We start from the raw sequence: 23923 nt of genomic DNA, 5'->3' as shown, positions 1-23923 counted from the left end.
TCACCCCAGGTTCCAAGAGCAGCCTGAGATTCGAAGAACCACTTTATTAATGGTCATTCAGAATTCCAATAACTCCCAATAAAGTAGAATTAGGACATGCATCTTAGACCCTACTCTATACACCCTGCTTCTAGTTGAAATCTTTGGCCAGTTGGGTCAAAGTTTCAGGTATGCTCTGTGGAGTTGGGAGGAGGAGAGTCATATTTACAGAAAAAAGCTTTGTCCTAACCTACCTCAAGTTTTAGACATAGCGGTTGTATTACAAAAGACAGCATATAGGGTCCTCTCCTTAAGGAGTCACCCTTGACTCAGGTGTGCTCCCTGAATAGAGTTGGATGCCCAGGGTGGCACATGGATTACAGGCTTTGCACCATAGAAGCTTCATCTACCAGTAAGCCCAGTCCAGGGGGTGCTGTGAGCTCTGAACAATCAAATGAGCTCCTCCTCTCTCCTTGGGGTAGGGCCTAGACGAGCTCTCATTGCCTCCCTTCGGGGACTGGAATTAGTAGCCAAAATGATTCTCCAGCATTTAAAAGAAAGCTTTTGACCCCAAATTTTAGGAGGAAGAAAGACAATTATATAAAACCATGACAACTACTGCTACCCCTACCATAGTTTAGCAGACACCCATAATGTGCCAAGCACTCTGCTGGCCTTTATCACGTTGTGTATCTCATTAGACGTCATTTAGTGTGATCCCTATAATTACCCAGTGACATGGCTGTTATGACCTCACTTTTACAGAAAAGGAAACAAATACTCTGAGAACTGAGGATACTTACCTGAGGTTGAAAGCCACAAAATTGAATTCTAACTCAGGCTATCCAATTCTTGCAATATTGCCTCTTGGCAGTTGTTGTACTGGAATCAAATATTTAGTGTGCAGGATCCTAGAGACCTATGCCTGCTCATTCATTTTTTCATTTATTCCACAGTTACTTTTAAGCTCTGGCTTAAAAGTCAGGACACACCCTCTTCTAGGTGTTTTAGAGTTGCAGTGATCAGAACAAAGACCCCTGCCCTTAAGAAGATTTCTATTTTGTGTCCTAAAATCTTTAAAATTCAGTATTGCTCAGCCAAGACAACTAACATTATTTTTTTAATTGACCACAATAGAATTTGTGTTGAAAGAATAAACAATACTTTTCTCCTTATAAAAATCCTTTTCTTCTTTCTGTTTCTTTATGTTGTGGTTTCTGAGCCCATTTTAGAGTATCTCTGTGTTGGAGTTATTATTTTTCTGTCTTGACTTTTTTTTTTTTTTTTTTTTTTTTTTGAGACGGAGTTTTGCTCTTGTTGCCCAGGCTAGAGTGCAATGGTGCGATCTCCACTCACCACAACCTCCACCTCCTGGATTCAAGTGGTTCTCCTGTCTCAGCCACATGAGTAGCTGGGATTATAGATGCCTGCCACTACGCTTGGCTAATTTTTGGTATTTTTAGTAGAGATGGAGTTTCACCATGTTGGCCAGGCTGGTCTCAAACTCCTGACTTCAGGTGATCCACCTGCCTTGGCATCCCAAAGTGCTGGGATTACAGGTGCGAGCCACCGCGCCTGGCCTTCTCTGCCTTGATGTTTAAGTTCTGGCTCTGCTGTTAAGACTTTTTAATTGTTCACGGGGAACAGGAAACCACCAATGAGTACTGTATATGAAATTGAGCACCAGGGCAAAGAGGAAGGTGCTGCCGTCAAAAGACAGCGCAAGGATATTCAGAGGAAGAAGAGAAGGAGGAGGTGGATGAGTTGGGAATTGAAAACTGGCAAAAGTAGAGTGAAGTTGTACTAAAGAGGGATGAGGATTCATTTGCGCCCATGAGGGAATAGTTAATGGAAGATGAGAAAGCACTAAGATAGACATCAAAGTTGAAGGGATTTGCAAACACCAGGAGAATGCTTGTAAGAGAAAAAAAAAAAACAAAAAAAAAACACTCTGTGAAAATGAAAGTATCTTGAGAATTGAAAAGAGGTTAAAGAAAACTGACTGTGTTTTCAAAAACATGTAAATTAAATGACAAACGAAGAAACTGTGACACCCAAGCAGTTCAAGGAGGCATTTAAGGGACACTGTGATCCAGGAAACGTCCCTGGGAACTTCAGAAATGGCAAAGTAGATGGAAAATTAACCGAAAATTGAGAAACACTAAATGGGTTATGGTGGCATTTGTGAAACAGTAAGAGAATTAAAGTCTAAGGGGGAAATAGTGAATAATAAATATGTCTAGAGAACATCTCAAATAATTAGATTTTGGAAGTTAAAGGAGACTTATGACTATAAGACGAAAGAGATAAAATAGAAATCTGGAGGAATGAGATATTTTAAGTCATAGTTAAAGAAGCTTATGCAGCCCATTATGGTTGGCTGTTCACACAAGGACAGAGGGACTCTGGAAATGAGTATACTAAATGGCAAGGGGAAGCATGGCTTTAAAAAGCATTGCATTTGTAGTAGGGTGTTAGAAAATATGACAGGGTGGAAAAAGAGTGAAAACTGCATGGAAAATTTGCATCAATGTTAACTACTATTTATTAATAGCTGTATACCAGGCACTGTGCTAGGCATTTTATGCGAACTATGAAGTTAGGTTAAACCATATGAAACTGTCATGGCTAGTCTGTATGGTTTAACTTAATCCATTTTTGCAAAAAAAAAAAAAAAAAAAAAGGAAATGGAGGCTCAGTAGATTTTAAATACGCTGCCCAAGGTGCCAGGTACTGTCTCACTGTAAAGCCTATTCTCTTTCCTCGATGTCATGAAACCTCAACAACATAGAAGCAGCAAGTTATTCTTTTATTCATTCTGCACATGTTCAGCACCAGCTCTGTGGCGCACACCCTGTTTAGCACTAGAAATATAATACTAAGCAAGGCAGATGAGGTCCCTGCTTCCATGATTACAGTCTACCAGTTAAAAACAAAAGCAAAAGCACAAAGAGAGTCTAGAACAGCTGTTCATTAGAAATATAATGCAAGTCACATGTAACTTAAATTTTCTGGTAGCCCATTAAAAAAGTGAAGAGAAGCAGATAAAATTAATTTTAATAATATATTTTATTTAACCCAACATGCCTAAACTACTCCAACATGAAATCAACCTAAAATTATTTATGAGACCTTTTACTCTTTTGAAAAATACGAAGTCTTCAAAATTCTGTGTGTATTTTTACATGGATGGCACATTTCAATTCAGACTAACCACATTTCAAATGCTCAATAGCTACACGTGGTTGGTGGCTGGCTATCTAACGTGATAGCAGGCCTAGTGAGAATTGGACAATTCTGGCCCCGTTTATATTCAATCATAATATAGGAAATATAGGAAATATTGTCTACCTATTTTTCAATGTTATCTCTGATCACCATGCATCACCATTCATAGAGCACAAAACACAAGGGGAAGAGGAATGTTTATTTAACCTGGACTTCAGCTTCATACACTTAATACTGTAAATACCAGAGGAAATGTGTATATATATGTACGTATTTTATGTATTTTTTTATATATATAAAATATGTAAATATATATGTATTTAGTGTTGTGACTGTCACTGGCAATAAAAAACAACTTAGCACTTTACCACCAGTGGATGACAACACAGAAGTCGTCTTGGCAAATCACTAGAGTCTTCCCCTTCTCTATTTGCCAGCATGCTTCTGTGTACTTATTGCTCCTGATGGAGATATTGAAGCTGTAATTTGAGGCTTAGAAGCAGTCAGAATTTCTGACATTTTATCTGACCACTAAAGCTTTATGATCAATTTTGTAGAGATAAGCAAAACAATGACAAGATTTTACTGTTTAATACAAGTGCCCAGCAGGTGTTAATGGGAACTGATCAATGTGGTGTAAAATGGTATTTCCCTAGGTAAAGAACTCTGCTCTGGAGCAAGTTTAAATGGGAAGAAAGCCCATGGAAATATGGATTGTCCTTCCTAGAAATTGGGTGGGGGAATTGAAGGTAATAGGTACTTGCTCCCTGCCAACTTCATAATGAAATTACTGTTCAGCAGAAATTTCTGTTAGAGGTTTTTTTTTCCCCCCTCCCAAGGGACTGAAGACTTTTAATAGAAAAAGACAATATTAACATTGAGTATATGGAGTCATTCACCCAGAATATTGAATCTTAGAGGAACACAGAAAAATCTGAAGCATGAGGATTTCTGCATAGTTATTTTCATATAATCTGAAGAACAGTGTTTGCGTCTCAGTAATCACTCTGCTAATTCCATCTGATTTTACTACCAAATGGAAGAAAAGGGAACAAGTGGAGAACATGGAGATGGGAAATTAAAGAAGGAGATTTTAAGTAAATCCAAAGAAAGGTGCTCAACTGCGTATGCTACCTTCTTGATTAAAACAATCACTGTTTTGGCTGGGCATGGTGGCTCACGCCTGTAATCCCAGCACTTTGGGAGGCCAAGGCAGGTGGATCATTTGATGTCAGGAGTTCAAACCAGCCTGGCCAACATGGTGCAACCCTGTCTCTACTAAAAATATAAGAATTAGCCGGGAGTGGTGGCAGGTACCTGTAATCCCAGCTACTAGTGAGGCTGAAGCAGGATAATTGCTTGAACCTGGGAGGTGAAGGTTGCAGTGAGCTGAGATTACACCACTGCACTCCATCCTGGGTGGCAGAGTGAGACCCTGTTTCCAAAAAAAAAAAAAGTTGCTGTGACATTCAGTTCATGTTACGCAACCTTGTGAATGGCTCTCCCCAGGAGCAAGTGTCTTTATCGAAACCAAAACATTTGTTCCCTGATCCAGCATTTCCAAACAGATAACAAACTGGATATTTCCAAATTTCTTGATAATTTACTAAATTTTTCAGTTTTCCCACATTTGGGGCGCTAGGTAGACTCAACCTGAACTACATTCACCCCAAAGTGTTGGATAATTGAAACCTGGCTTAAGATCTCATTGTACTCAATAAGAAACACCTCAGTGAGTTGGCCACCCTAATTATCAACTTAGGGCAGCAGGTACAGAGTGACTGGTAACTTATTTTCGCTAGCTGAGGTAAAGGCCATTGGTGGTCTTTGTCGGTAGTTTTTGTACTGAAATTCCATTGCAGTTGCCTGCCTATCTGTCCAATCTCTTCATTCCACCTGTTGCTTTCTTTGACCGTCGTCTCTATTCCTTGCTTGCGTTACTACAAAGCCTCATCTGTTTGCCCATCTGCCTCTTACAAACTTGCATTTCAAGCCTCCATTCCAAATAAACACAAGATGAAGTCTAAACTCAGTCTATATAGTACTTGCTTATCTGACTCCTGCGTCTGTCTCTAGCGTCCTCTCCCAAGTTACTTTCCCACTTGCCCCCAACTTATTGTGAACTGACGGCAGCTCATTGAACACATCATGATGTTTCAGGGTTTTCTGCCTTGGACTTTGCATTTTCTCCATGTGCATGAGCAAGAGCTGCTCAACTTTTCCTTCCTCTTCCTTCTCAGCACAACCCAAATCCCTTTAACTTTGTTTCCTTTTTCCAGTCATGGAATCACCATAGAATTAGCCACTGCTTCTCTTATGCTTTCCAACAACTTAGTCCATATCTCTATTTTTACACTTATTGTTCTTCGTTATAGTTATTTTGTGTGTCCCTCTCCCCAACCTTGAAAAATTAAGTATTTTTGGTCATTTTTGTATCATTTTCATGGCATAGTTCTGGTACAGGGTGTGATACATAGGAGATGCTCAAACATGCCTAATGGATGGAAGAATGGATGAACGTATTAATGAATGTATTGACGGATAGATGGATGGATGGATGGATTAATGGATTGATGAATGTATTGATAGATGGATGAATGGACAGGTAAATGTATTGATGGATTGATGGATAGATGAATGACTGCATTGACAGATGTTTGGAAGGGTAGATATATAGATGGATGAATGTATGGATGGGTGGATTTCCCTTTGGTGATGATCTGTCAACATACTTGCCAAACATTAACTGAGCCCCCACAGTATGCCAGACAATGTGACGGGGCTAAAAATAACCCTGGGAAATGGAACCAAAATGTCAGCTTAAAAAATAAAAACAGCTTAACTTAGGCTCAATTAGTTACTTTGAAGTCCTGCTAATAATGAGGAATTTGACTCCAGTTCTCCACTAAACAGTCCATGCAAATATCTTCTTTAGAGTCTCAATAAGAGGTGTGAGGTGGAGCACACCTAGCTGTGTGTATCTGGACCATGTTCATTTAGTTCATCAAACTCCAGCCAGGAAACATCAAAGGGGAGAAGGAAGAGAGAAAAAAAAGTTTCAATTGTCTAGATAATGAATGGTTTTTAAGCCGTGAACAAAAATGTTCAAGTCCCCTCAAGTGCAGAGAAGCATTTTCACTTCTGCCCCTATTGGCTGCAAATCTGAGTATATCACTCCTCTACTTAAAATCTTTCCTGGCTCACCATGACCTTCTGAACAAATCCAAACCCTTCAGTGTGTCCATTATGATCTGGCTTCAGGGATCCTCTGCAGACTCATCCCACTGCACATAACATAACCATCTGCCTTACTAAGCCGTTTCCTACTTCCTCTAGCGTGTGTTACTACCTTTGCTGACTCTTTACTTAAGATGATGCCTCTGCCCAGAATGCTTTCTCCTGCCTCAACCCCTTCACCCATTAAGATTCCCTGGGAAGCCCTCCCCAGATTCCCCAGGTTGAGTTAGGGACCCTTTTGTCTGTGTTGTCTCACCTTCTTACATTTACTCTCCATCAGTGAATAAGTGGCATTATAGGTACTGTCATTGTTTATGTGTCTATGCCATTGAATTATAAGAATGTGGGTAAGAAAGAAGACAAACACTGTGTTTTTTATTTCTGTATCTATAAGACTTACTATAAGCCCTGACCTATATACCAGGCATACAGTAAATATGCTTTCTTTGACCGTCGTCTCTATAATAAATAGAGTAATTAGTTGTTAAATCAAGAAAATATCCTTCCGGCAGGTGTGGTGGCTCATGCCTGTAATCCCAGCACTTTGGGAGCCAGAGGCAGGCGGATCACCTGAGGTCAGGAGTTCGGGACCAGCCTGGTCAACATGGCAAAACCCTGTATCTACTAAAAATACAAAAATTAGCTGGGCATAGTGGTGGGCACCTGTAACCCTAGCTACTTGGAAGGCTGAGGCAGGAGAATCATTTGAACCTGGGAGGCGGAGGTTGCAGTGAGCCAAGATTGTGCCAATGCACTACAGCCTGGGCTACAGAGTGAGACTCCGTCTTAAAAAAAATAACAAAAATAAAAACAAAAAACAAAAAACCTTTCTAGGAAGTGATAAGAGATACCCCAAATAAACCAGATAGAATAGTGATTATCCTTTGTTCCTTCTAGAATAGCAGTGTTTTAGTTTTCTGTTTGTTAAAGTATTTGATTGCAGAGAACTTGAAGAATACAAAGATACACACACAAAAAAATGAAAAATACCCATAACCCTTTTAGACATAGACAAGCCCTGTTTTTATCCTCTTTTCTGCTTCTTTAACATTAAATAGTAAGCATTTTCTCTGCATCATTAATTTGTCTTCAAAAACATGATTTTCAATGACCCGAATGGTCTGTTGAATAAATACACAATATTTGCTCTTTTCCTTTTCCCCAATTTCTTCACTTTGTCCTTGGAAACCAGATTCTCCCCCACACAACACCCCCATCAGTCGCTTCTGCACCATGCTGGTCCAGGGATGTACATGTGACCCATTAGGCCAGTGTCTCTTCTTAAAATTTCTTGTAGCCTAGTTCTCTTCTTCTTCTTCTTCTTTTTTTTTTTTTTTTTCACTTTTTAGCATCTCTGGATGTTAATGGAATATGAAGCAAGTGACACAGTATCTTTCTGGGGAAGTCTTTGAATGCTTCAATCCACCATATTGGATGTATCTTGTGTCTGCTGAGTGGCCACCACCATGTTGTCTCAGATGTCTTTAACGACATCACATTTTTCTCAAGCTGCAAGGAGAGCGGATCCCTTGGGGAACCTCTCACCCGAAATCTGGGAGATGAAGTCTGCCTTGGCTCTCTGAGTTCAGCCTGAGTACAGGCCAAGGTGGCTTTGAGGAGTGATGAGGGTATAAATGTTGTAAGGCAGATAGATGTTACCTGCAATGAAAACACCTAGACCAAAAATTAAGTTTATACATGTTATATAAGGTAGATTCTAGGAGTCATCGTTGATGCCTCTTTCTCCCTTCCCCTCATCTAATCTTTCACTAAATACCTCCTAAATATCTCTCCACTCGGTCTTGTTTGCTGTTGCTTTTTCTCTTCCTCCTTCTCTTCTTCTTTGGCCACAACCAGAGTCAAAGCCACCATTATCTTTGACCTGGTTTGTAAGAATAGCATAAGTAGTCCCTCTGTACCCGCTCTGGTTCCCCTCCAATCTATTCTCTACACAGCCTTCAATTGACATGATCTATTACCTCTTTGATGTCACCCTCGCTTCTATGTCTTCCCATAGTTTTTTTTGTTTGTTTGTTTTTCTGAGACAGGGTTTCACACTTGTTGCCCAGGCTGGAGTGCAATGGCACGATCTCGGCTCACCGTGACTTCTGCTTCCCGGGTTCAAGCAATTCTCCTGCCTCAGCCTTCTGAGTAGCTGGGAATACAGGTTTGCACCACCATGCCCAGCTAATTTTTTTGTATTTTTAGTAGAGACGGGGTTTCTCCATGTTGGTCAGGCTGGTCTCGAACTCCTGACTTCAGGTGATTCCCCTACCTCAGCCTCCCAAAGTGCTGGGATTACAGGTGTGAGCCACCATGCCTGCACCTTCCCACGGTTTTAAGACAGACATTTAACATGGTCTCTAAAATCCTGCACTTTCTGTTCCTATTCATCTTCTCAGCCTCACCTGATCTCACATTTTCCTGTCTTTCTCTGCTTCAGCCTCTCTGGTCTGCATTCAGTTCCTGGTATGCACACCACAGAGTCTTTGCACATGTTGCCTCTTTTGCCTGTTTGTGTCTTTTCTTGCCTAGTTAATGCCAATTGAGCCTTCAGGTCAAGCTGCACTTCCTCAGCCTTGCCTCACCCCTATTTCACTTTCTTATAGCATACTCTCCCGTCCCTTGTATCATTTGTCATAAATCTGTGTTTAATCAATTCATGACTATCCTCCCCCTTAGACTCTAAACTTCTTGAGGGTGGGAATTATGTTCATTTTCTTATTTACCCTGAACCAACTAGCTGAGTCCTGACATATAGCAAATGCTTCATATATATTAGTTGAATAAATAATGAATAATGGAATGTCATTTTTTCAACATTGAATGCCATGTGGTTTATGAGCAAGCAGCTTCCTTCAGGGAAGTTTGTTAGAGTATAATAGAATGTGTTTTCAGATCTTCCTGTAAGAAGATCATTTGAATATAGGTCTATGAATCTGGCAGGACAAAAAGCTTACATTCCACGTGTTAATTACAGTCAATTACTAAAGCATGGTCAACTAGCAATGGTTGCATGGTTATTAATACTTCTGCAGAGAGGCTTCTTGTGATGAATATAGCATTGTAAGTTTATAATTTTTCAGTATTCCATTAATGGTGGCATCCACTTATTTGTTCGATTGCTCTAATTCTTTCCTAAAAATTTGTCTTTCTCTCTTCCCCTTTCTAGATTTATGGTCAATGTTACATGGGATGGCAAAGACTTATCCTTCACTGAGGAAGGCTACCAGGTGCACCCCAGGCTGGTGGTGATTGTGCTGAACAAAGACCGGGAATGGGAAAAGGTGAGCATCCTTCTGTGTGCTGAATGCAGGGGAGGGAAGAAAGCATGGGCAATAAAGGGGCTCACAGTGCTTCTTTCTCCCACGCATTTCCTGTTGAGCTGCTCTAGATCCCATCTCACAGCCAAGAGCACGTCTTTCTTGCAACAAGGCAGACTAAATCTGTAAGGTGCAATTGGAATGCTTTCTCTGGGTGAACTGTGGTAATTGTGTGGTGCGCTGTATGTCTGTTCTCAAATCCCAGTAGGAAAGGTCTGAACTAAGGATAATTTAAAGACAGTGAAGTCTGGGTTGCAGCATTACACTAATAAGTGTTGACTATGTAGCAATGATCATAGAAGTTTGCCTAAACTTCCTAATTGTGTACCATAGTCATTGCCATATGAACGAACCCTCTGTATTTTCATGTACTCAGTCTTTTGCTTTAAATAAACTAATTTTAAAAACTTAAATGTATCACTTCTGTAAATCATGAGTTAGAGAGGGAGGTTATTTTTCTTATAAAGCATATTTTCAACTACATGTATATTAGCTATTGAAAATACAAAAAATCGTTTGCAAAGAAAAAAATCATCATCTTATGTACCATACATGTCATGACCTGGGTCAGAGAGGAGAGATGTCACAGGGAATTTACAGATGATCTCATACATACAATGACAATATCTGGTTCAGTTGCCCTCCCTCCTCCTCCATAATTAAATGCTTAAGTTAGTCGCTACAATTTCGTATAAAGAGTAGAATAAAAGGGATCAGAAAGCCTTTGTTGTTACGTTGTTATCTTATTTTTTTGTTATGTTTTTTGACAAGCAATGCATGACCTCTGAACTACTTTAGCATCTTGAAATTTATCTTCACTTAGTACATCAAATGGAGGCCTGAGTGACCCTAGAGGGAAGGAAGATATAGGATGTGCTGTGGGAGACATAATGTAATTGACTGAAATCAGGGGGAAATACTATACAAACAGAAGCATTGACTCTGGGGAGACAATGACAGATTCCTAGAAAAGAACAGTGAGGAGGAAGCTTAGGAAAGTTTTGCATCCTACACCCAGCAACTATAAAATGCACAGCCTTTCGAGTGCACATGGGAAATCCACCAAAGTAGACTACATTCTGGAGCATAAAACAAAAGTCTCAATGTGTTTAGAAGAATTGAAATAATGGAGGGTGCATTCTTTGATCATAACAGCATTAAAATAAAAATTAGTAACAAAAATATATCTAGAAAATCTCCAAATATTTGGAAATGGCAACACACTTCTAAACCTATAGGTCAAAGAAGAAATCAGAAAGACATTAGAAAATACTTTAGTCAGAATGATAATGAAAACACAAAATATCAAAATTTGAGGAATAAGATTGAAGGCACACTAAGAAATTCATAGCTTTAACTGCTTATAATAAAAAAGGAAAGTGTGAATTCAGTGTCAATGATTTAAGCTTATAAATTTAGAAGTTAGAAAAGAGCAAAGTGAACAAATGAAGTAGAAGAAAAAAATCATAAATACACAAGTAAAAATCAACAAGGTGGAACACAAGCCATAGAAAAAAATCAACAAAGCCAAAAGCTAGTTCTTTGAAATGACTAATAAAATTCACAGTCGCTAGCAATAATGATCACACAAAAGAAAGAAAACACAAATAAGCCAATATTAAAAATGCAAGAGGGACTATCACTTACAGACACTACAGATCCTACAGGCATTAAAAGATAAAAAGAATATTATGAAAAATTTATGACAACAAATTCAACGATATAGATAAAATGGGCAAATTCTGAAGAAACACAATTTTCTACAACTGAGATGTAGGTATTGACGATCTGAATAGCTCATATTTGCTGAAAAACTGAAAATATACCTAAAAACTTTCCCATTTTAAAAAGACAAAAGAGAAACTCCTGGCCTAGATGGCTTCGTCTATCTATAACAAACATTTAAAAGAAATAACAGCACTCTATACAAAGTTTTTCAATATGTTACTAATCATAATGTAATAATATATTTTAAAAAGGATAATACATCATGGATAAGTGGGGGCTATCTGAGGAATGCAAGATTAGTTTAACATTTAAAAATTAAATTAATTTACCACATTAACAGAGTAAAGGGGGAAATATGGTCATTTCAATAGATGCGGAAAAAGCATTTGACAAAATTCAATATCCAGTTATGATAAAGATGGTAAATTCCTCAATCTGATAAAGGGTATCTATGAAAAACCTATAATATATATATCGATTTATATATATTATATGCACATACGCATATCATGAGATGCTTTATTTGACAATTTTTAAGTTTTTCTGTCTTATTCTAAGTTAGACTACGGTGCATAAAATATATATATTAAATAAGCTTATATCTTATTTAATGATGAAATAATGAAAATAGATCCACATAGGCACATTCAAATGATTTTTGATCAATGATTATGACAACAGGGAAAAGGAAAATCTTTTTAATAAATGGTATTGGATAAACAGGCAATCTACATGGAAAAAAAAAACCTTGACCCATTGCTCACATTATGCATGCACACATAATTACCTGAAATAGATTACAGGCTTAAATGTGAAAGATAAAACTATCTAGAAGAAAATGTAGGAGAATATTTTTGTGATCTGTGAGCCTCAGATTTCTTAAACCAAATATGAAAAACCATTAAGCAGTAAATAAACTGTACTTCATCAAAATTAAAAACTTTTGCTCATCTAAAGACACTGTTAGCCACTGTGCCCAGCCCTCTTTTTTATTTTCTAACACTTGTAATTCCAACACTTTGGGAGGCCAAGGCAGGTGGACCACCTGAGGTCAGGAGTTCGAGACCAGCCTGACCAATATGGTGAAACCCCGTCTCTACTAAAAATACAAAAATTAGCTGGGCATGGTGGTGTGCACCTGTAGTCCCAGCTGCTTGGGAGGCTGAGGCACAAGAATCACTTGAATCCGGGAGGTGGAGGTTCCGGTGAGCCAAGATTGAGCTACTGCACTCCAGCCTGGGCGAGAGAACGAGACTCCACCTCAGCCCCCCTGAGTAGCTGGGATTACAGGCATGTGCCACCACAGAGGCTAATTTTTTATATTTTTGGTAGAGATAGTTGCACCATGTTGGCCAGGCTGGTCTCAGACTCTTGACCTCAAGTGATCCACCCGCCTCAGCCTCCCAAAGTGCTGAGATCACAGGCGTGAGCCACGCGCCTGGCCAAAAACTGTGTGTGTGTTTTTTTTGTTTGTTTTTTAATAAACGTACACATACACACACAAATCTTATCCAGCAATTTTACTCCTAGTTATTTATCCCAAAGAAAGATAAACATATATCCAAAAAGTAATACTTGTACAAGAATGTTCATTGCAACTTTATTCATTATAGCAAAACATCAGAAATAATTCAATGTCCATCAACAAGGAAATGAATGAACAAATTATGGTATATTAATAAAACAGAATGGCCTAGTAATATGTACAACAACATGGATGAATTGAAAAACATTATATGGAATCAAAGAAAGACACGAAAGATTATATTACGTGAAGACATGAAAGATTATATTGTGTGATTCCATTTACATAAAGTTCAAGGGAGGCAAACGTTCCCTATGGGGTTAGATATCAGAATAGTGGTTGCTTCTGTGGGTGAGTGCAGTTGACAGGACAGGGGCACAGGGAATTTTCTGGAGTGATGGCAGTTATTTCCTATCTTGAACATTTGTCAAAAGGCATCAAATTATGACACAAGATCCATTCATTTTGTTGTATGTCATTGTGCTTAGTTTAAAAAAAAACCTAAATCCGGGCCGGGCTTGGTGGCTCATGCCTGTAATCCTAGCACTTTGGGAGGCCAAGGCAGTCAGATTGCCTGAGCTCAGGAGTTCAAGACCAACCTGGGCAACATGATGAAATCTCGTCTCTACTGAAATACAAAAAATTAGCCCGGCATGGTGGTGGTGCCTGTAATCCCAGCTACTCAGGAGGCTGAGGCAGGAGAATCACTTGAACCTGGGAGGCGAGGGTTGCAGTGAGCTGAGATCGCACCACTGCACTTCAACCTGGGTGACAGAGCAAGGTTTTGTCTCAAAACAAAACAACAAAACCTTAAATCCTTCAGATCGGGATACCCAGCACAATTAACTAACAGTTTTCACTGAGCTTTCATATTTAACCCCCTGACATGAATACCAATTATAATAACAATATCCATTGCTTATTGATCACCTCTTGTATTGATCCTTCAGTTGATCCACCGGAGCCCTGACTTCATGGTTCGTCTATTCATTTTTTTATTCAACAAATAGTTATTAAGTGCCTACTGTGTACCAGGCCCTATCCTTGATGCTTGGAGTCCATCATAAACAAGAGAAAAAATATTTTCTGTACTCAAGAAACTTAGATCTTAGTGTGTATATGGAGATGGAGTCGGCTGGGATTCTATGGGCTTCTGTCATGCTTAAGGAAAGTGTTAGCATCTAGTTAACTGTCCTTGGTTTTAACCTCCTTTCTTCCCTCTTATACACCCTGTAGCCCACCATGCAAGTGATTTGCAACTCCATGAATGTATATACTGGGTTCCTTCATGCATTTGGGACTTTGAATATGCTTTTGTTGTTGTTGTTGCCTATAATATTTTCTTATATCATTACTTTCTCTTATCCATCTTTCAAATCCTGATTTTTTTTCCTCTTACACATGTAAAGCCAAAATGCAATTCATGTTTTTTTTCTAATCATCCATAGGAGGTAGAGAGTTGGAGCCTTTCTGCCTTATGTTGTTGCATTTTGGGGTTTTCAACCTTTTGATGTTACACAATCTGCGATTCACTTTTGGAGCCACCAAATCATTCCCTTTGGTTGGTTTTAACCAGTCCTGGAGCAGGCTTGACTCACACCTGTGAATTTTCTGTGCTACCTTAGAATCTGACTCATCTTCCAGGGAGCTGGTACACAAGGAGGCCACTGCAGTGCAGGTGACAGCTGCCCTTGATACACTCCATTTCCAGATACAGAAGATGCCTTTTAATATTTTGTGGGCCTTTCTTCAAATTCCTGTTGAAACATAGCAATTTCCCATAAAAGGCAGCTTTGGGAATTGCTGCTGAGTTGAGCTTAGAATGCACAAATACTGCCTGTAGTTGCTCTATCCTCTTGGCACTCAGGGGATCTAGTGCTTCAGAAATAACTCCGTGTGCTTCTGTCTCTAAGAAAGAGAAAGCCAGTGGAGCAGGTAAATACCAGTCGTGTTACCCTTAAAGCTGCCCCCCCAGCACTACACGCTGGTACAGCAGGTCAGCAGAGGGGAAAGACTGCTGAGGAGGGAGCTGTTATTCTGGGACTCGGAGGCGATTTCTTTTCATCTCCGAGGTCAGCCAGTGGCGTCACTGAAAGCAGCAGCATGTAATGAGGGTGTCTGGGAAAACACGACAAGCCCTTAGAGGGGCACTTGCTTTTTTCCAGGCCTTTGTAGGTGGCTGGTGTGGATTATACAGACGCCAAACACCAGGCCTGCCTGTATACTGCAGACACAGAACTCAGAATGGAGCAGACTTTCTCTCACAAATCGGGACTTCCATGCCTTTTCTCTCTCCCTTGTTCTTCAGTGATTTTGGTCTGCCTTAGAGTTTGATGAGTCCAAGGCTTCCCAGAGATGCTCAAAAACAAAACCCTAGATGCCTCAACCTCAGCCTCAGAAGACCCTACAGCCTCAAATTCCTAGGTGTAAGGGGTCTTCCTGCCAATTAGCAGTCTAGGCTAGTACAACCAATGCCACGTGTATGCCAGCTCTGTGGCCAGCAGTTCATTAGGTACCAGGGATGCTACAAGGATGTGTAGGAAACTATGTGTCTTCTCAAGTAGCTCATAATAGAGAATTAAGCCAACCCTGGAACAAATGGCTATAAGTGCTACATAGGCGGAGAGAAGGGTGAACTTGGGCCAGTCAAGAAATTCTCTAGCCGGGCACGGTGGCTCACACCTGTAATCCCAGCACTTTGGGAGGCCGAGGTGGGTGGATCACGAGGTCAGGAGATGGAGACCATCCTGGCTAACATGATGAAACCCCGTCTCTACTAAAAATACAAAAAAAAAATTAGGTGCCTGTAGTCCCAGCTACTCTGAAGGCTGAGGCAGGAGAATGGCGTGAACCCAGGAGGCGGAGCTTGCAGTGAACCCAGATCACACCACTGCACTCCAGCCTGGGCCACAGAGTGAGACTCCATCTCAAAAAAAAAAAAAAAAAGAAATTCTCTAAGTGAGAATTTCTCACTTAGAGAAATTCTTTGTAAAGCTAGAGGTATTGGAGTTGAGCCTTGAGTAATAAATTGGATTGCTCTAGGCTGAACTACTTATTCTACCTGAAAAAAAATGCTTTGAGAATAATTCTGGTTACCATTTTAGGGTTATAGTAGCTTTGTTTATTTTATTATTTATTTATTTATTTCAAGACAGAATCTCACACTGTCACCCAGGCTGGAGTACAGTGGCACGATCTGGGCTCACTGCAACCTCTGCCTCCCAGGTTCAAGCAATTCTCCTGTCTCAGCCTCCCGAATAGCTGGCATTACAGACACGTGCAGCCACTCCTGGCTAACTTTTGTGTTTTTAGTAGAGATGAAGTTTCACCATGTTGGCCAGGCTGGTCTTGAACCCCTGACCTCAGGTGATCCACCGGCTTCAGCTTCCCAATGTGCTGGGATTACAGGCATGAGCCACTGCGCCTGGCCTTACAATAGCTTTAAAATGAAAATATATGTGTGTTTATGCATACACCTATATACACATACAGGCTAGCTTTTAAAAATTTGTTTAAGTTAACAAATAAAAATTGTAGATATTTTTAGTGCACATGACGTTTTGATATATTTGTACACTGTGGAAAAGCTAAACTGAACTAATTAGTGTATCCTAGACAAACTTTAAAAGGGATATATATTGAGAAAGAGAGAGATAAATAAAGATTTTTGAAGTTTTGACTTTAAATGTAAATAGGACAAAACACATAAATATTAAAGTAAAACAAGCCTTTTATTCCCCAGAGAAGATCCAATTAAAGATGATACCGATGTTCCAGAAGACATTAGGGAGACCCTTCCTTGTGTCTTCCTGAAGGAAATGTCCCATTCTCGCTCTGATGGGTCTGTTTTTCTTTTTGTTTTCACCACTCTGTTTACATTTGGTTTCAGGTGCATTTTGCACAGAAATACAACCAGATCTCTCCCTCCAGCCCAGATCTGTCTCACGGCCTCCAGACTTGCCTACAGCACCACACGTGGCTGACCCACAGACACCCAATATCACCTTGTCCAAAGTCAAACTCATCATCTTCCTCCCACGGATATGTTTATTCGCCCGTACCCCAACACAGAAAGCTTTCTTCTTATCCCCGGAGTGTCCCCCAAGCCCTAGTATTCAGCTGTCACCTGCTCCTGATGTTCCTGCCCCTTCAAACATTTGTCCTCTTTGCTAAGGACACCCTTTCCATTGATTCTATATCTGGGTAGCTCAAAGTGGGTCTGCCCTTTTCCACTTCATTCCTGCAGACCTGTATACTAATTCGTAAGAGTGTTAACAGCTTGCTTTGGCATTGTTTGCTTGCCTATTCATCTTCGCTTAGACTAGAATCCCCAAGAGGGGAAGGTCTGTTCCTTTCATCTGTGTTTTTTCAGCTTCACCACAAGGGTTTGGGCCTAGTGCACAAATGGACCCCTCTATGATCTGTTGGTATCGACGACTTCAGCTGCCATTTATTAAGAGCTACTCTGTACCAATAACTATGATGACAATTTTACATTCATTATCTCATTTAGTCATCTGAGTAGGTATTTGTTTAATAGCACTTCTAAAGTAGGTATTCTTCTCCCTGCTTCAGAGATGGAAGTTCTGGTTCAGAGAACCAGAGTTTCTCTCTGGTTAGTGACCAGCTTAAGATCTCCCAGCTGGTGTGTGATGGAAGAAGGATGTAAGTGGAGGTCCGCCTGCCCCCGAAGGCTGTGTTCACCACCACTACATCATGTGGAACAACTGGCAGCGGGAAGGAGGTATTCTAGAGGAGAAATTTAGGGAGTTCCTCCTCCTACCCTTAGAAAGGTGTCTGCTTCCTTTCCTCTCACTGGATGCAATTGATTCTACCTGAAACCAGCTAATTAGAACTCAGGGTATAGGCATTTATTGCATCTCCCAGACCTTGTAATTTTTAACTTTTTTTTAGAGACATGGTCTCACTCTGTTACCAGGCTGGAGTGCAGGCACAATCATATCCCACTACAGCCTCAAATTCCTGGGCTTAAGGGGTCTTCCTGCCTCAACCTCCCAAGTAGCTGGGGACACAAGTGCACACCACCTTGCCTGGCTAATTTTTATTTCTTTTGCAGACACAAGTTCTCGATATGCTGCCCAGGCTGGTCTCAATCTCCTAACCTCAAACAGTCCTCCCATCTTGACCTCCCAGAGTGCTGGAATTACAGGCATGAGGCACCGCACCCGGCCCCTTCTATTTTTTGGTCTACAGTAGTTTCATCTTCCAATTTGTCTCATTAAGGGAGGGGATGCACCCCATATGTTATGTCTTGTGTGAAATAAAGTAGATTCCAGTTATAGGATTCCTAGTACAGATATGATAAAGGAGATCTTACAAAAGCTATGATTGCTCTCTTGAGTCTGTGGTTCTGACTGTGGTGTATCATTGTGCTATCAGGTCTAGTGAGGCATAGTGATGCGTGGGGTGCAATTATTACATGATGTGATTTGTAATTATAGAATGCTATAGCTCCCTCCTATCTAAATTATTGTATTTTAGCTCCCTCTCCTTGCCATCTCTTTCCCATCACTACTACCACATTTAGCCTAGCAGGGCCCAGTGAGTTTCAAGATCTCAAGAAAACATGCAGGTTGTTAGTGTCAGTTTGCTTCTGTGTGTGTTTGTGTGTGTGTGTGTGTGTTGTGTGTGTGTATGAGATATCAGTAGTCTTCAAAAAAGTTCATCCAGCCAGAGGATGGAAGTATTTATGCAAACATTGTTCTTGGCTTCTCCGCACACATCCCAGTGAAGATTGTGTAAAAGAAATCATGGAGAAAAATTGCAATTGTGAGGACACCAGTAAATGACAATTGATAGAACGATTATGTGGATTGCTAAAATTGAAGAACATTGTGACACATTCTACCGGCAGGGAGAAACATATTACAACTCTCTTTGCTTAGAAAGACAATAGCAGCCCATTGGTAAAGCCATGAATTCTGGCCACGGCTAGCACTGAGAGCTCATGGTGTGTTTTCAGTCTCTCCTTTACCATTATATCTCTGGTATTCAATAGCAGAGGCTCAATAAGGATTTGGAGAATGAATGGAAAGACTCTTTTCCCCATTAACTTCCCCAAATGAGGAGCATCTTTTAGTATGGGCTTTTTATACGTGTAGTTCCTTGGGCTACCTAGATTAGAATCACCTTGGGAAAGATGTAAAGGCCTTAGCCCTGCCTCAAGTCTATGGAATCAGCATTTCTGATTCTGAATCTGCATGTTTTATAAGCCTCCCTAGTGATTCTCATGCCCATTAAAGATGTAAAGCTACTGCTTTAGGGCATAGACTTACTCTGTGTAACCCTGAAATGGTTTTATTTAGGTCATCCTGTTATCAAGATTCTTGCTTCTTAGCTTTTGTGCTTCTTTCTTCCTTTGGAATATACTGCTCAGTAGCAATGCTTAGGAGAAACTACAGAGGAAAAGGAAAGAAGGAAATTGGAATCTTGTTGCATCTTGAATAACTTCTGGCAAATGAGAGAATAACAAGGCAAATAAAACGCTGTTTATAGATGTAGTTCAGTGCCTGTTACCTAGATTTTTCTCAATAGATATTGTTATTAAATGATTTTTTTGTTAAAAATTTGTCCCATCAACAGAGATAATAGAACTTAGGGTATTATGTAATCCATATTTATTCACACACTTATTTGTCAAAGAAAATTTCCTGAGCACTCACTATGTGCAAGTCATATCTGAGGGTTGCAAGGCAGATAAGACATCTGGTTTTCAAGAGACTTAGAGTCTAACGGGGCACTAAGAGATGCTCGTAACTGCAGGAGAGCATGTGAGGTGCCATAAAGATGTTTTGGCAACTCCAGGTGTTTAGAGAAGAGAGATGTTATAGGGAGGCAGAAGAATCAAGGGCGTTTGTATGGAGGATTTCTCGTTTGAACAAGGTCTCACGAGAATAAGCAAGATTTGGATTTCTGAATATGTGTGAGGAGGCCATTCCATGCAGTGGGAAAAAGTCAGGTTCAGAGGCAAGAGTGCCCAAGGCCCATCTGGAGAAGAGTTCAATGTGATTGGAACATAGCTGTGTGGTATGCAGAATTCTTAGAATGGTCTCCAGTGACACTTGGCCTTTTCTAAGCCTCTCCCCTGGGAGTATGTGACATGATGAGCTGTCACTCCTTGGTTTTATTAGGCCACATGGCAGAAAGGACTTCTCAGTTGACTTTGAATTACTCAACAAGGAGATTATTGGGGCGAGCCTCACCCAATCACATGACCCCTTTAAAAGTAGAAAGTTTTGTGCAGCTATTAGGTTGGGGCAAAAGTAATCGTGGGTTTTGCCATTTAAAAAAAACAGCGAAAACTGCAATTAGTTTCACACAAGCCTAATAGTTGCAGAAAGAAATTTGGAGTGTGAGAATGCTTAGTCTGACTTCTACATTTGAGGATCGAGGGGGCTCCATGATAAGGAATGCAGGGGCCTCTAGGCACTGTCAGTCCCTAGCTGACCTCAGACATATAACCCCAAGGAGGTGAGCTTGCCCAACAATCTGAGTGAGCTTGGAAGTGGATTCTTCCAAGATCCTCCAGATATGAGCCCAGCCTGGGTAGTGCCATGATTTTGGCCTTGTGACACCCTGAGCAAAAACCCAGCTGAGCCCGCTGGGACTTCTGACCTGCAGAACTGTGAGATCATAAACAGGTGTTGTTTCAAATGGGTAAGTTTGAGGTAATTTGCTACACAACAACAGACTAGTACAAATCTTTTGAAGGAAACTTTATGGGGGTAAAGGACTATGCTAGAATTTAAATGATAGGTTATGGCACTTAATTCAGTAATCTTCAGGGCACTATTGAAGAGCTTGAGATGAGAGAACAACATAAAAAATAATCATCACTCACATTTGTTTAACATTTATTAGGTTTTAAGCATACATTTAATCCTCATATCAGGACTGTAATACAGATACAACTATTACCCTCTTTTGCAAATGGAGGGAATGAGGCTCAGAGAAATTCAATAACTTGCTCAGAGTCACAGAGCTAGTAAATTTCAAAGCCAGGATTTGGAACCCAATTGTCTGCACTCTTAGACATGAGCTACACTGCTTCTTTAAAAGGAAAATGGTGATTGTCAAGAATCTGGGAAATTTTTTAAGGGCCTATTTACGTGGCTTGGGTTAGAGGGAAGAGAGGTATGGGGAGGAATAGTGGCCGCGGAATCTGAGAGAAATTTCAGAAACAGAACTGAAAGCCATGGCATTGGCTGCACTGATTCTCTGGCAGATGCATGACAGAGGGGAATTAGATAGATTAAAAAAATTTTTTTTTAGGTGTAAGTCTCTAATTAGGTATTTTCAGATTAGGTATTTCTGGAAGAGCTTTGCCATGCCTGTAAATGACATTGTTCATCTCTCATCCTTCCCTGTCATCCTCCTTCCTTTCTTCTCTTCTTTTCTTTCTTCTCCCAAATCCATATTTAAAGTCAAGTTCCTTTTTATAAAATGGGTTTGGTAATATCAACCTTAGCAGAGTCTGTGTGGAATTTAATTTGTTTCCTTATATAATGATCGTTAAGTTTCTCAAATGATGTGAGCCATAGAGAGGGAAAATTGAGCCATTATAAAACATTTAAAATTATCATCTGTGCATCAGGATTTAGCAAAGGTGAATATAAATAAAATAAAATAATCATCTGACTTCCCTAGAGTCACGCATAGTGACTATTTTAAATACTCACACAGTACAATATGTTAGGTCACAGTGAGGAAAATATAGTAGATCTCTAGCAAATTAACACATTCAACTGAAATAAGTGATGCCATCTCCCAAAGCATGTGTGTGTGCAACTGTGTGTGCGTGTGTGTGTGTGTGTGTGTGTGTCTTGCACTGGTTCTTTTGTTGTTGCTGTTGTTGTTGTTGTTGTTGCAGTTGTAACATCAACCCAACTCCAAAAAGAACAGCAGTTGAACAGGCGCTCTCCTGCAGAGCAACATTCTGCTGAAAGTTTTTCAGATTTCAGAACTTAAAACAAAAAAAAATGCAGTTCATAGAAAAGACATCTCTATGGGAACATACGTTGATAGGGATACTAATGATAAAGATGATTGATGATGATGGTGATGACGGTGATGTTCTTGATGGATGGGATGATCATGAGGGCAGCAGCTACCATTAGTTGAGTTCCCACTGTGTGTCAGACACCATGCAGAGTGTTTTCAATGGATAATCTTGTTTCAGTCTCCCAACATTCTCTGCATTTTCTCATATCTAAAAGGGAGGCCATAATAGTACTGACCTCCTAGGTTGTTAGGATAATTAAACAAGGTGATATATCAGGTGCTTAGAACACTGACACATAGATGCCAGTTCTAAGTATAATTATTTCTATCCTCATGTTATAGGAGAGAAATTGGAAGCAACATGGGTTGAATGACTTGTCCAAGGCCATACAGTGGTAAAGGCAGGACTTGAGCCCAAGCAGTATTTTAATAGAGCCAGAGTCAAACATTCGGTCATATGGAACATTCTTCTCCATCCCAGTCGCAAACCCAAATTGTTAAGGATCTCTCTGAGGGTGATGGGAGCATGATTAAGCTGACAGGTGGTATAAATGTAAGACAAAAGCTGCACCCTTGCTAGTTTTCCATTGCCATCAATTATGAAAATGAGCAAATAGATTATTTAAATGATCTCAGATGAGTAAATTATTCAAAGAGCCTCTCAGTCAGAAGTATTTCTAGAAACTCCTGAATAGACCAATGAAAACCATTTTGGTTTTCTGACAGGGTCATCTGCTCATCTGTGTTGTAGAGAAACGCAAAGCCCTGAGGAAGCGGGGAAAGCAGGAGAGAGAGAGTTGGGGGAGAGGGAGGCAGGGAGAGGGCTAGGGAGGGATAGCAGGACAGGGAGGGGGGATGGGGGGAGAGGGAAAGAGTAAGGGGGAGAGTGAGAGCGGGAGGGGGAGAAAAGAGGAGAGAGGGAGAAGAGAGGGAGAGGCAGAGAGGTGGGAGAGGGAGTGGAAGAGATAGAGAGGGCCTGAAGAGGGGGAAGAGAGAGGGGAAGAAGGGGAGAGAGAGGGGGGAGAGGGAGAGAGGAAGACGGAACTGGGGAGAGGAAGGGGGAGAGAGAAGGGGGAAGAGGAGACGAGAGAGAGAGAACAAAGTAACAGTGGACTTTAAGGCAAATTTTCTTTTCTAATTATATTCCCTTGAATGCTGATTCCTTTCAGAACTTAGAGTGCCACCAGGGTCTCTGGGTGGGTAGGGGGCTTATGAGGTAAGACCCACCTTCAACTGGAGATGGCAAAGCTTCATCTGATTGGTATGTTATGTTGAGGTTCAAAGTGAGCTTCCATTTGGGGAAAAATAAAATATTTCTAAAATAAGTTTGAAAGCAAGTAGAGGAAGGAGATTGACTGTAGTAGTTGTCTGAATATGACGTAAATAAATAGTAAGCATTTGTTGAGCACCTATTCTATACCAAACCTTACAGTATGGCCTTCTGTACTTATTATTTCACTTTAGCCGCATAATAACCCTGTGAAGTGAGTCTCTGATTTCATATTTGAGTCATGCAAACTTAGAGATGTTCTATGATTTTTAAAAAATTAATAGCTGAGAAAGGATTCAAATTTAGGTCTTGTGAGTCTCCAAGTTTAGTGCTTGTTCCAGTACTTTGCACAGTTCCTAGGATGAATGATGGAAATTTTCATATAGGTTGTGGAGATTCACAGGGATGGTATCTGCCTTGGAAGTTGAGTGGAAGTTGGGGGTATGACAATACCTAGGCTTTTGTGTGGACTTAACTCGTATTCTTTAGGACAAAGTAACTATACACTATGACTGTCTCTGATGGGATTGAACCATTTTCCCATCCATTTATCCACCCATGCACCCAGCTAGTCATCCAAAGATTAATCATCTAATAAACCATCCATCCATT

The 23923-nt window shown here is 40.3% G+C and overlaps 1 protein-coding gene across 7 annotated transcripts in view; it reads left to right on the top strand.

Annotated features, from left to right (window-relative positions):
• Positions 1–23923, top strand: part of GRIN2A (glutamate ionotropic receptor NMDA type subunit 2A) — a 429505-nt gene that overhangs the window by 282192 nt on the left and 123390 nt on the right. For all 7 annotated transcript variants that reach the window (NM_001134408.2, XM_047433994.1, XM_017023173.2 and 4 more), the window contains one exon: positions 9617–9731. In NM_001134408.2, coding sequence (NP_001127880.1) covers positions 9617–9731 — 115 coding nt within the window. The remainder of the gene's footprint in view (positions 1–9616; positions 9732–23923) is intronic.

The sequence above is a fragment of the Homo sapiens genome, chromosome 16, assembly GCF_000001405.40.
Source record: "Homo sapiens chromosome 16, GRCh38.p14 Primary Assembly".
NCBI lineage: Eukaryota > Metazoa > Chordata > Mammalia > Primates > Hominidae > Homo > Homo sapiens.
This window is presented reverse-complemented; position numbering and strand designations above follow the sequence as displayed.